The 14,690-nt window shown below is 38.6% G+C and overlaps 1 non-coding gene across 1 annotated transcript, besides 2 other annotated features; it reads right to left on the bottom strand.

The window, feature by feature from the left end:
* Positions 3,532–3,826: a silencer, noted in NCBI's record as "tiled region #2718; HepG2 Repressive DNase matched - State 5:Enh, and K562 Repressive non-DNase unmatched - State 19:H4K20". NCBI's record gives its function as "represses a minimal TATA promoter and a strong SV40 promoter by Sharpr-MPRA in HepG2 and K562 cells {active_cell/tissue: HepG2 | K562}" and the evidence as "EXISTENCE:reporter gene assay evidence [ECO:0000049][PMID:27701403]".
* Positions 4,059–4,259: a silencer, noted in NCBI's record as "peak6235 fragment used in MPRA reporter construct". NCBI's record gives its function as "represses an SCP1 promoter by STARR-seq MPRAs in K562 erythroleukemia cells {active_cell/tissue: K562}" and the evidence as "EXISTENCE:reporter gene assay evidence [ECO:0000049][PMID:32103011]".
* MIR1273C (microRNA 1273c) lies at positions 14,165–14,241 on the bottom strand. Its single transcript, NR_036100.1, has one exon. It is a non-coding gene; the product is annotated as a microRNA 1273c (primary transcript).
* Positions 14,242–14,690: the final 449 nt, after the last annotated feature.

Raw genomic sequence — 14,690 nt, 5'->3', positions numbered from 1 at the left:
GTACAAGAGTTCAAAGGAAAATCAGTTTTTAAAAACCCATGGCAATATTTTTAATTATTGTAGGCTGAAATTATTTCCTTCAAACTGTATTTCCGTAACTTTCCACTGCAGAAAATGAAGTAGAAAAGAATTTAAAATGATACTTTTCAGTGATGAACACTCAAACCAAATTTCATTCCAAGAGCGGGAGAATACAGCATCCTTAATCTTGCCCATTTTGTTTGTTTTAACAAAGTATAATAAAAATAGCTGTGAACTAGTGAGTTAGCCAGTTTTTGCCCAGAATACATGTAACAGAGTTCCTTTTCAAGAAATTATTCATTGCTTAGTAAGAGTAATGAATTGGGAAAAATGAAGACATTTTTATTTAACTTTGATAACTAGGACTTGCATATGTGTATGGCACATCTCACTATTTCTGTTTATTAATTAATCAGCCCATATTTGCTGTACTACATGCAAGGCACTGCTGGGGATACAAGGGTGACAAGGCATAGTCCTTGCTCCTAAGGAACCAGCACTTAGGGAAAATATGACTGCTATACAAGTAACTATAAGAACATATTTTATTTCATTATTTTATTTTGAGATGGAGTCTTGCTCTGGCACCCAGGCAGGAGGGCAGTGGCGCGATCTCGGCTCACCGCAACCTCTGCCTCCCAGGTTCAAGCGATTCTCGTACCTCAGCCTCCCGGGTAGCTGGGATTACAGGCGTGCACCATCATGCCCAGCTAATTTTTGTATTTTTAGTAGAGACAGGGTTTCGCCACGTTGGCCAGGCTGGTCTCGAACTCCTGACCTCAGGTGATCTGCCCACCTTGGCCTCCCAAAGTGCTGGGATTACAGGCATAAGCCACCGCGCCCAGCCTATAAGGACATATTTTAAATAATTCGCCCTTAAAAGATGGAGTTTTTACTAAAAAATGATCTAAACTTTTCATACAACTCCCTACTGCCTCCCTCCCCTACCCCTGCCCCACATAATAATATCTGTAGCCACCTTGTGGGGCCCTGCTTCTGCAGACCTGTAAATGTCTTCTCTTTCCTTTCATATTTTGGGCATCAGATGGGGAAAATTATGCTTCTGGCTCAAGGAATATCCGTATTAACCACTGTTAAAGCAATTGCTGGGCCAGGCATAGTGGCTCATGTCTGTAATCTCAGCAATTTGGGAGGCCAAGGTGGGAGGATCGCCTGGGCCCAGGAGTTTGAGACCAGCCCAGGCAATATAGCAGGACCTCCCCTCTACAAATAATTTTTAAAATCAGCTGGGTATGGTGGTTCCTTTCTGTGGTCCCAGCTACTCAGGAGGCTGAGGCAAGAGAATTGCGTGAGCTCAGGCAGTCAAAGCTGCAGTGAGCTGAGATCATGCCACTGCACTCCAGACCCTGTCTCAACCCCCTACCCCGGCCCCGCCAAAAAAAACAACCCACAATTGCCACCACACAACTCCTACTCAAATAATCATATCAGTAAAATATGTCCTAGGATCACATAGTGAATAGACACATACTAACAGCTTTCAGTAGTGAAAGGTGAAGAGAAAGAGTGAAGCCTCATGGTGAATCCATCAGGGCCTGGCCTCTGTTTTGTACTCTCTACTCTCAGCCTACAGGATAATGCTTTACTCACATAAGGATAACACAGGACACTACAAAAGCAATTTTCTAAAAGTTAACTCTAATTCCCTGAAAACATTCATGGGTTTTAAAATTATAAACATTAAATCACAGCCGGGCATGGTGGCTCACACCTGTAATCCCAGCACTTTGGGAGGCCGAGGTGGGTGGATCACTTGAGGTCAGGAGTTCGAGACCAGCCTGGCCAACATGGCAAAACCCCCTCTCTACTAAAAACACAAAATTAGCCAGGTGTGATGGTGGGCACCTGTAATCCCAGCTACCTGAGAAGCTGAGGCAGGAGAATTGCTTGAACCCAGGAGACAGAGGTTGCAGTGAGCCAAGATTACGCCACTGCAATCCAGCCTGGTTGACAAGAGTAAAACTCTATCTCAAAACAAAACAAAACATTACATCAAGAAATTCCATGTGACTACTGAATCCCTGAGAGTGCTCTAAAATAACATGTCTAAGAAAAGAAAAACATCCTTCCAAACTCTGTCAAGACTGGGTAGAACAGAGAGAACAGGAAACAGCTGAAATGCTCCTCAGTAGAGGACTGGAGCACCATGGGAAACTGCAGATACTGGGTACAACAGAAAAACAGGAAACGTGTTTCTCAGGAGAAAATTGGTTAACTAGGGCCAGGCACGGTGGCTCACACCTGTAATCCCAGTACTTTGGGAGGCCGAGGTGGGCGGATGACCTGAGGTCAGGAGTTCGAGACCAGCATGGCCAACATGGTGAAACCCCATCTCTACTAAAAAAAAAAAAAAAAATACAAAAATTAGCCGGGCATGGTGTCAGGCGCCTGTAATCCCAGCTACTCGGGAGGTTGACGCAGAAGAATCGCATGAACCTGGGAGGCAGAGGTTGCAGTGAGCCGAGATCACGCCATTGCACTCTAGCCTGGGAGACAAGAGCAAGGCTTCATCTCAAAAAAAAAAAAAAAGAAAGAAAATTGGTTAAGTAAATTATGGTTAAGCAAATAGCAGAATATTATGCAGGCATTACAAATGATGTGCAGCTTATATGCTTGGGAAGCATCTAGAAGAACACATGAGGAACTAATAATGGTTGCCTCTGCAGAAGAAGAATTAGGCTGGCTGGCTAATTATGAATTTTTTACTTCATCTCCTTTGTTATTGGTTGAATAAGTTATGATAAACATGTATTATTTTAAAATAAAACAGACAAAAATGTGAAATAAGCACCATTTTGAATGACAAGAAGAAAAAGGAAAAACGACTGTGCTGTAGATGGTAGAAAGAAAACAGGTATTAGGAGATCAGCGTGAGAGATGTTCACGACAAAAGAATAGGACAGAGTACCGAACTTTTAAAATTTTTGGTCAGATGAACAATCTGATAAACTCATTTGTCAAAACAAACTAATATTAATTTGAAAAAATAAAAAATCACTGAATTGAGTAAAGTGACAGCATTTCTGAAAGGAAATAAACCTTTACATGAAAAGTCACTCAGTGTGAGAATGTTAAAATTTTTATATTTTCTATTTCCACAGCTATCCTCACATATTTTCTTGTCTGCTTTAAACAAGGTATCACCCCAAACAGTGTTAACCACTCCAGGAATTAGCAGTGAACAAAACTACATTGTCGTTCACCCATGGAAGCTTTTGTTGCACAAATTTCAAAAGCCTTGTCAAAGGCAGAAACCAGTTAGCACAAAGAATTGATGTCACAGGATAAACAATTTGTACAAATCCTCAAGATACTCGAATGACAAGTTCTGTGCTTAGGACAACATTCTCCATGAGGACAAAGAAGGCAGTAAAACAGTTTCAAGAACCACCACAATTCAAACATGTAACACTGCTTTTAAATGCTGATCAAATGTTAAGGCTCCAAAATGCTATAATTAAGAGATTCGTTTTTTTCCTTTATTTTTTGAAAGCATTGTTTAAAAAACAAGAAAAGTAACTATGTTATCCAATATGAAATTCCACAACATGAATTTTCAGCTTAGCAACTAGTCTAGGTAATGATTAACTGGAATAAGGCAATGACAGGAAGAAAACCCAAACCAGGTGGAGCTGTGGCTACAAACTACAGAATGCTCACCTGCCTAAGGGGGACACAGAAGGGAGAGTCTGGGACCGAAGAGCAAGAATTCCATGTGGACTTGGAGTTCCTGACCATTCAGCAGTCATTCATTTCAGTTAAAGGTAGACTTCGCTCTCGTGAAAATGTGCGTGTGAGTGAGAGTATATGAGGAACCTCAAGAAAGAGAGAAAGATAACTTTTTAAAAATTCCCTGGAAGATATTGGGGTAGGCTAATTTAAAAATCAATAAAAAGAAGCAGAAAAGAAAGCCAGGACAACGAAAACTCCACTTATTTTACAGTTTCCTCTGAGACTGGCAACACATTTTACAGATTACATTCCCAAAGTGTGTGTGTGTGTGTGTGTGTGTGTGTGTGTGTGTGTGTGTGCACGCATTCATGCATGTATGCAACTATGCATTTAAAGACTCAATTTTATCAGCAATGAGAATGATTTTACAATTTTGCTGTCTTTGTGGCTGTAACCTTTACTGAGTCAATTCTCTTATCCACTTTCAAAGACTTATCATCTTGGGAAACTGAAATAGTAATACTCCTAATCTTCTGGCAAAGCTAACCATCAAATGATCAGTAAAGAATTTGCCCCTCATGAGTATATAACAAAGTCAAATTCCTGCACTAGTTAAATTATCTGGCAATGGCAAAATTCTGTTGGTGATTACAAAATGAGAGAAATGTAATAACATTCCAAATAAGTCCTTTAAAATTAAAACTACAAGGAACTTTAAATTAACAATTAAGAGTATGCACCAAGGGAGATGCATCTAATACCACATAACTAATAAAATGAATTGACAGTCCTGAAGGTATGAGCGTTTATCCTTTAAAGGTGTCAAAATGTTTTATATTCAGCTAAAAGATTTCATGCTACTATGACCAAATTTAATGGAGACATCTTCATTTCTGAAGCAGAGCATCTATAGCAGAGTCTCCAGATGCTCTATTTCAATAAAAGCACAATGCAATCTAACAGCAGATTTGAAAATCAAATGATTTCCAGAAAACCGGTAACCGGAAAAACTGAAAACTGATTTTTGCTATAGCTAATGAATTTTTTAATTTTTTCACTTGGTAGTAAAGCTGTGTCAGGAACATTTTGTCTTTTGGCAGCTAGTAGGAATTTCAAAATCCCGCTTTCTCCTTGGAAACGTATTGATTAGGTCTTTTTTTTTTAAGAGGGAGTTTCGCTCTTGTTGCCCAGGCTGGAGTGCAATGGCGTGATTTCGGATCACCGCAACCTCGCCTCCTGGTTCAAGTGATTCTCCTGCCTCAGATGGGATTACAGGCATGCACCATCATGCCCGCCTAATTTTGTATTTTTAGTAGAGACGGGGTTTCTCCATGTTGGTCAGGCTGGTCTCGAACTCCTGACCTCAGGTGATCCACCTGCCTCGGCCTCCCAAAGTGCTGGGATTATAGGCATGAGCCACTGCACCCGGTCTGATTAAGTCTTTTATGGCTGAGGCTGTACTTAACACCCACCTTGATGGGATCCAGTTAGTCACTTGTTTCTCATTTAAATATACAACTAAGTTGCAAACTACAAAGCTACACAGTCTACATCCAGCTAACTACACTATATATAGTTTGATGTATAATCAATGTACATTATGACGGAATCTTGAAATACTACTAGCTACAAAATGCTTTCTCCTTTCTTTGAAAAAGACTTGCATTTTTAAAGCCAGTGGAAAACAATCCAAATTAAAAATCAACACAACAGATATACAGAAAAAAAAGAGCTAGGCACAAATTTGCCTTGTTAAAATGCTTTTCTTAGAAAGATGATAGCTTGCACATTTCCAACTAATCCACCTGATGCACAGAGCATTACTGCTGCCTCTGTCTCTTCTTGAACAAACACAGGCCTTGGGCTTTACAGACTAATTCAAATGTGTATAAATCAATTGCTTCCTTCCTGCTGTTGCTCTTTTCAGATAGCAGACAAGAGGCTCTAGTTTAAGGATGGCAGTCAGGATGGACACATTAGAAAGAAACATTTTAGTTTCAATGTTACCATAAAACCAGAACGAAAAGCAGCATGCTGTATTATATTTTACAATTTAGGTTCCATTTCTAACTCCACCTAAAATGAATATGAACAAACTCATTTTTAAGTGTTTGTCAGTCAAATACAATAATAGTCTAAGTTTATTCACATATGTACCAACCAAAGCCCAATAAAGCTAAAAGGAAGCCAAGTGTAATAAAAAGGCAGCTATAAGGTCTTGTGTTTGAATTTTTACCCAGCAAGAAATAAATGATACTTAGTAATCCATCTTTCCCCCCCACTGCCATCCCTGCACACATCTAAAATAGGCTAACTTCACCTATTCTAACTTCTGAAATTGTTTTGGAATTCCTGTTTTAATTTTTTTTTTTTAAGACTGGATGGTTAAGTTACTAGAATTTTTAGATACAGGTTCGATGGTCATTATAATATACTCTAAGGAGGGGTCTAATTATTATAGGGGATTTCAAATTTGCAGTCCAACAGGCAGAGTAGAAATCATTCAATTCTAGAAATTGGTATCATTAGCATTCTTATAGAAGAAAAATTTAATGAGATTTGACAGATTAAACATATACACCACAGGCTGGGGTGCTATGTGAACAATATTCAACCCTTCAAAGGGGGAACCGTTTTACTAGGTAACAAGAATTGCTTGCACTGTGAGAAATAGTGCAAAACTAACCCAAAAACACCAGCAGATTATTTAACGTTCTTTTGGCTTCCACCTAATAAGATACCATAAATAATATGGTCTACTGGGAAATGTTCCATATAGAAATAACCTAATACATAAGAAATGAGAAGGTTCCTTGCTAGAGTAACTCTATAGAAAATTAGAATTCTTTCATCAGTGGGTCTCAAAATGTAGTATGCATATAAATTACCTGGATTGCTGGGTAAAGATGCAGGTTTCCTCCACCTACTCCCAAAGCTTTTAGCTCTATTAGGTCTTGGGAAGGGCTCAGCCTGAATTTTAAACAAATCCTTTGGGTATTCTAATACAGGTATCCATGGTCCACACATTGAGAAACACTGATCTTAAAGGTGTGAGACATCCTTTATAGCTGGCCTCTTCTGTAGGGTGATTCCACGGGGGCGGTGCGCTCTGTCCAAAAGTGTGAATTACCTGCCATTTCATCATTAACCTATAATGAAAATTTGACAAGGAAAGCTCTTGGTTTACAAAAGTCACTTATTAAAGTGAGAATTTGTGTTTTTTAAAAAAGAGATTATTCCCCAAATCACAAACTCACTGAATAACAGCTGATTGTCTAGAATCTATTATGATAGCTAAACAATCTACTATAATATTAGGGTCTATGGGGACAATGAAGAAAGACATGGGGGAAAACAGAGGGAAAAAAAAGGCAAAAGGCAATAATCTATTTATAATTCTGCCTAGACCCAGCCTTATGTGTCATATAAAAGTGTACACCCGGCCGGGCACAGAGGCTCACACCTGTAATCCCAGCACTTTGGGAGGCCGAGGTGGGCGGATCAATTGAGGTCAGGAGTTTGAGACCAGCCTGGCCAACATGGTGAAACCCCATCTCTACTCAAACTACAAAAAATTAGCAGAGTGTGGTGGCGGGCACCTGTAGTCCCAGCTACTTGGGAGGCTGAGGCAGGAGAATCGCTTGAGCCCAGGAGGCGGAGGTTGCAGTGAGCTGGGATTGCGCCACTGCACTGTGCCTCAAAGAAAAAAAAAGTGTATACCCCACACAAGGGCACTATGGAGCAAACCCATTAATGAGTCTCTCCAACCCCATTTTCGCACCATACACAAAACTACCAAATTAATCTCTCCTTAAACATCAATTCATTTTTCGGTTAGAGAACCTATACTAAGTACCCTGACTCCTCCTCTCGAAGTCTATGTGAACTATGAACTACTCTGCTTCTGACGCTGAAGATTCTGTATAACCCCATCTCACTTAATCAATCCAACCATAACATAAGTCTGTCACTTTCTCCTAAAGTGGATTTCCCAGCTCCAGTCAGATGGAGCTCACATTTCTTCAACTTTCGAGGGGCTGACTCTCAGGCTTTATACCTTTGCTCTAGTTTGTCTCCTAACTGATCAATATCCCTACATGGAAATACCTTTCACCCTGTCTCAGCCTTTAAGATAGTCCTTCGAGGCCAACCCCAAATCCCATTTCCGCCATAAATCTAGTCACTACTGCATTCTTTTCTCTTCATATGGAGCATTTCGCACCTTCACCAAGTACTGAAGCACTTGGCTATATTCAACCTTGCATTTTTTACACCATTCTTTAGTATCTTCCCCATCGCCCACCACCTTTCTAAGTTCCTTGAAGGCGGTAACACTTACAGAATTTCCTGGTATCTCCATCCCCACCCAATCTCTCACTCAAACAAAATGCTAGTGTAAAAAATTGGCTTGACAAATAGTTATCACAATTTATGCATTTAATTATCATCAAATTGCATCCCAATGAATACCTGTAAATTAATTAAACAAATATCTGAGCAACCATCATACATCAAGAGCCATTCATAGGCACTGGGGCTATCCTTAGTGAATTCTTTGTCCTCAACTGTCTTATGTAAGCCCTTAAAACAATTTGTCCTCAACTACCTTATGTAAGCCCTTAAAACAAAAACTATCTTTTTTCTGCTACTAGCATCACACGAAGATCTATAGCAGCTCTTTATTCCAGATTCTGCGAGTTAACCAGAGCATTTTCTACTCTATAAGTTACTGGCACCACTATGACAGCTGAGAAGCGAAGCTAAAACATCACTTTCCCCCAGACCAACAACACTGAGTGTTCTATTTTATCACACTAACAACATGAGATTAATTTAAGGTATGGAATTTACTTCCCGTGGGTGCCCTATTCAGTACCTAGTAGATACGTATATTAGATATCAGCTGTAATAATTTTCATTTTAAAAGCCACAAACTAAAGATACATATAAACTGCCATCATTAAAGATTTCTATCACTATGATTACCTTTTTCTGAAATAATAAAAAGGACAGGACAATACACAGAGAAAGAAGGCTTCTCAAGGATTAAAAGCTCTTACAAGACTTAGTATTTATTATTTTTAAAAATATGGTAAAATGTATACAACATATAATCTGCCATTTTAATGGCTTATATATTCATATTAAGAAAAGTATTGAAATAGTACTGTAATACTGACTAAAACATGGGATTCTTTCTTGCAAAAAACTCACTATGATTACCTGAATTTGGAAACTAGTGTTAGTAAATATCTTTTTTATATTCTACTGCTGAAAAAGTAATTAAAATATGCCATTAGTGGTTAAATTATTTGTATTTCAGGTAGTAAAATAAAATACAATACTAAATATTACACTTTCCAGTTTTTCTTTTCTTTTCTTTTTTTTTTTTTTTTTTTTTTTTTTTGAGACTGAGTCTTACTCTTGTTTCCCAGGCTGGAGTGCAATGATGCGATCTCAGGTCACCACAACCTCCGACTCCCGAGTTCAAGCGATTCTTCTGCCTCACTTTCCCGAGCAGCTGGGATTATAAGGCGCCCGCCACCATGCCCAGCTAATTTTTGTATCTGTAGTAGAAATGGGGTTTCATCATGATGGCCAGGCTGGTCTCGAACTCCTGACCTTAGGTGATCCACCTGCCTCGGCCTCCCAAACTGCTGGGATTACAGGCGTGAGCCACCCCGCCCAGCCTATACTTCCTAGTTTTTCTGCATTCTTTTCTTAAAATTCACAAATGGTTCCTAATAACTGTAGCCAAAAATCTTTATAAAGACAGCTTATTGAGACAGCCTGGCCAACATGGTGAAAGCCTGTCTCTATTAAAAATACAAAAATTAGCCGGGCACGGTGGCGCATGCCTGTAGTCCCAACTACTTGGGAGGCTGAGGCGGGAGGATCGTTTGAACCTGGGAGGCGGAGGTTGCAGTGAGCTGAGATTGCACCACCACACTCCAGCCTGGGTGACAGAATGAGACTCCGTCCCAAAAAAAAAAAAAAAAGCTTATTATGTAACAGGTACCTGCTAAGTACTTTACATGCATTACTGTTTTTCTTCTTAGTGAGGTATCAATTCGCATATGATACATTTCACCTTTATCAAGTGTACAACTCAGTAGTTCTAAGTATGTTGACAAAGATGTATAACCACCACCACCACCACGAATTTCAGAACATTGTCATCATGCTGAAAGGGAACTGTACCCATCGGCAGTCACTCTCCATTCTTTCCCACCCCCTCACCCCTAAGCCACTGGTAACCACTTATCTATTTTCTGTCTCTACTGACTTGGCTTTTCTGGACATTTCATATAAATAAATCGTAATATGTGATCTTTTGTGTCTGTGTGTGTGTGTGTGTGAGATGGAGTTTCAGTGTGTGTGTGTGTGTGTGTGTGTGTGTGTGTGTGTGTGTGTGTGTGATGGAGTTTCAGCTCGTCGCCCAGGCTGCAGTGCAATGGCACGATCTCGGCTCACTGCAACCTCTGCCTCCAAAGTTCAAGCGATTCTCCTGTTTCAGCCTCCCAAGTAGCCGGGATTACAGGCGCACACCACCACGCCCAGCTAATTTTTTTGTAGTTTTAGTAAAGACAGGGTTCCACCATGTTGGTCAGGCTGGTCTCAAACTCCTGACCTCAAGTGATCCACCCACTTCAGCCTCCCAAAGTGCTGGGATTACAGGCGTGAGCCACCGCGTCCAGCCTGTGTCTGGCTTCTTTTACTTAGCACAGTATCATCAAGATTCAACCATGCTGTGGCATGTGTTAGTACCATGCATTACTCTTTAGGTCTTCAAAACAAACACTTAAGCTCAACACAATAATTGGCCCATTTTACATTAAAAAAAAAAAAAACTGAGACAATGAGACATGAAGTAACTGGCCCTCTTTGAGTCTCTCTGAATTCAAATTTGTTCATTGCATTTCTATAGAGATGTGTAAATTGTAAACATTATATACCAACTTATATGGAATAAAGTATACATTAAAAAAGAAAACTGCTACGTAGGCCCATGACTATAAGTCACAATTTCTTTTAAATTTTTTCTTTTCTAAAAAATACAGCCAGTGATCTCTATGGTGTTTTCAAACTCCAAGATATTGTTAAAACATTAAAGGCTTATTCACTTTCTCTTCAACTCTGATCTGGTGCCCAATCTTTCAGAATAAAAGACTAATTACTAAAGATCATTGATATCATGATATATTGTTGAGAATATGGCTTCATAAAGTATACAGTGAACTCAACAGGTCAACATAGCAATAACGTAGTTCATAGTATGAAAAGGAACTCAGTATTTACTTATATTGTCTGTAAATATTACCTGTTTATATTGCAACAAATCAAAAAGTAGCAAACATCATTTTTAGGGTTACAGAATTTTTTTAAAAGTCTCTCTGGAAAGATCCTGACAGTTGCACATGAGGACACTTCCAGGAAGAATTATGGATGAGTTCTTGACGAACTGAGCCAGAATGTTATATATAACTGAACACTTCAAACTCAGTGTAAAATCTGCCCAGCAGCAGTCAGTAGATAATCTTTCTGGTCTTTTGGTAACCTTAAGGATGGACTGACTGACTTAAAATTGTCTGTCAGCATGTGTAGGTGTCTGCCATAGGTAATAACATAGATGTAAATGGCAGCTGGTGTATGAAACACCCTAACTGAATACTGTATTTGGAAAAAGCAAGCTGAATTGCTCAGAAAAGGCAAATATAATACATAAAAGACTGAAGAAGAAAGAAGGGAGTAAAGCAGTCTATATATTTATTGTAGAGCAGAATACATATTTATCGCAACATTATGTTACGTTATCTTTAATCAGAAATAGCATTTTAAAGATGTGACTTAAAAGAGTCTGAAAACTTCACTGAATTATATTTGAAAAAAACACCCCAAGACATTTTAGTAAGACTTAAAACACAAATTGAAATACCAATGTAGAGTTTATATTTATAAAAATAAGAATCAGCATTGTGAAGCATGGTAACTCCTTAATGGAAACTAACCAGAAGTGAGAATTAAAAAAAAAAAAAAATTTAAATATAGTTTGGGACAGAGAATTCTGAATCATATAATTTTAATTAAGGTAAACAGCCTATGTTATCAGCAATTGCTCTTCTAGAGTAACGCTATAAAATAGGACCTCCTGGAAATGTTCTGTACTTGTGCCGCTCAATTTGGTAGGCACTAGCTAATGTGGCTGTTGAGCATTTAAGTGTGACTGGTGTGACTGAGGAACTGAATTTTTAATTTTTTATAAATTTAAATAGCAATAGGTGACTAAAGGCTACCATACTGGACAGTACAAGTCTTGAGTAACACGTGACATCATGCTGTAAAAGGACCCTACCATTACTGTTCCGGAAACTTTCAAAAGTTAAAGAGGAGACTAGGGTTATTCATGTTGGGTGGGCAGGGAAGGGACAATAGGAGAAAAGAAATGTCCAAAGAAACCTAAATTTTACCTCCATGATTTTAGCAATGTTTCCTTCAAATCCATGGACTAGGGCTACGAATATTAAAAATAAAATAAATAAATAAAGAAGAAAGGGAAGCAGAAATCACAAAGACAGAAGGAAAGATTTCCTAAGTAATGGCCACTAAGTATTAGCAGCAGTCAACATTTATTATGCAGTCTGTTTTATGTATTGTACTAAGCACTGCACATGTATTTTCATTTGACCCTCAAAATGAGTCTTCCAGGTACTTTTTATTTCTAGTTTTATAGATGAGGATATTGAGACTTAGGAAGTTAATTTGCTGAAACAAAAATGCATCTTCTAATGAAAATCTAGCAACTAGCATCCTTTCTCTATGTTCTAGCTGTATCTTACGTACCCAATCTGTTACAGCAATTCATACATTATATTGAAATAGAATTTACTGGTTGTTTCTCACTAAAAGGTAAACTCCTTGAAGGCAGGAACTGTGTTCTGTCAATAACGTAATATCTTTCTCAATTACCTACTGTCACCAATTTTTATCAAGGCATCTGAAATATATATATTATTCAATAAGTATTTGCTGAATTGAGTATGAATTTGTTTCTACATTCCAATGATAAACATGTGGTAACACACTCTCTTTCTCTCAACCCTCAGGCATCTATATTTGAGTTTTGAAACAGGTTGAAAGTCTGTTTAAAATAGCATTTTGTAAACTATTTCAAATAATCTAGAAAGAAACTTGGAACTCTTATAATCCGATAAAAACATTTAACTTTAAGCTATTTTTTTCAGGCCCATTAATTTAAAATGTCACATTTCCCATATTTTTAGAAATATTTTAATAGAAACTTTAATACTGTGACTGAAACATTTCCTACACAAAAGTTGTGCCATATAACAACATTAACCTCTGTATGTTGATGTGTAAGCACGAAGACATACCTCTTAAGGTACTTGAGCTGAACATAGTGCCTACGTTAACTTTTAAGTAATAAAGCTTTGATGGTTTCCAATCTTTTCATCTTATTTATCAATGACACTTTTTAAAAACCTTTCACATTTTACTGAATTCTATTCTCTCCTAATGGGCACATTGCCAGTATCTACTAAGGTAGAGTGAGGCCTAGGACAAACTTAGGGAAGCCTGTCAAAAAATCAGAAAGAACCAAAGAAGGTATTCCCTCAGTCCTAATCCACAGACTTCCACCTCAACATTTCATGAAATTCAATCTATAGGCAAAATAAAAATATTCATATGAGACATGCTCTCAAGGCTCTAATATTACCAGAGATGGTATCAAATAAAACTCTTAAATACACCATGGAGCAGCTCTAGTTAAAAAATGATCTCACCTTCAGAAACAACTGTACATATGACTTCTGCTAACTGTTGTCTTAGGAGGAAACAAAATCATTATTCAGTTTAACTGCTATTTTTAAATTTGTTTCACTTTTCTTGTCACTAAGCTTATTTACAAAATTCTTTTAATCTATAGTAACATCAAAAATAAGACTTCGAATATATGAAAACTTGTGTTTGTTGGGGAAAAGATAAATGAACTACAACTAAATTTTATCACACCTATGAATCACTTGAGGATCTTTTAAAAACGCAGATCCTGATTCGGTGACTCTGGGATGGAGCCTAAGATTCTGAGCATCATAAGCTTCCAAGTGATGCTGAAGTTGCTGGTGCAAGGCTTTGTGTAGCAAGTAACTAATTTTTCCAGATTTCAGTGGTTTGATTCTTCTAGGTTTTGTTTTGAAGACAGGGTCTTGGGCTGGGTGCAGTGGCTCACGCCTGTAATCCCAGCACTTCGGGAGGCCAAGGCAGGTGGATAACCTGAGGTCAGGAGTTCAAGACCAGTCTGGCCAACATGGTGAAACCCCGTCTTCAGAGAAAAAAAGAAAAAAAAAATTAGCCAGGCATGGTGGCAAGCACCTGTGGTCCCAGCTACTTGGTACTGAGGCGGAGGTTGCAGAGAGGTGAGATCATGCACTCCAGCTTGGGCAACAGAACGAGACTCTGTCTCAGAAAAAAAAAAAGACAGGGTCTCGTTTTGTCGCCCAGGCTGCAGTGCAGAGGCGTGAACATAGCTCACTGAAGCCTTGACCTCCTGGGCTCAACTGATCTTCAAGTGATCTGCCTACCTCAGCTTCCCAAGTAGCTGGAACCACCAGGGCACACCACCATACCTGGCTAATATTTTTAGGTTTTTTGTAGAGATGGAGTCTTACGTTGTTGCTCAGGCTGGTCTCGATCTCCTGGGCTTAAGCAATCTTCCTACCTCAGCCTCCCAAAGTGCTGGGAGTGTACTGTGCCCAGTCTCTTCTCGTTTTTTAAATGTTCATTTATGCTTTCAACAAATTTTTACTAAATGTGTACTATGAGTCAGACATAAGCATTAATAAGATCTCTGTCCTCAAAGAGCTCATTTGCTTAAAATCAAAAAAGCAAACAGGTCAACAAGTAGGAGTCTATACGGTATAGATGGGGACAGCATTTCAGGGAGAAGAAACAGTCAA

This window comes from Homo sapiens, chromosome 6 (genome assembly GCF_000001405.40).
Source record: "Homo sapiens chromosome 6, GRCh38.p14 Primary Assembly".
Lineage (NCBI taxonomy): Eukaryota > Metazoa > Chordata > Mammalia > Primates > Hominidae > Homo > Homo sapiens.
Note: the sequence above shows the minus strand (reverse complement) of the source record. Positions and strands in the feature narration are given on the sequence as shown.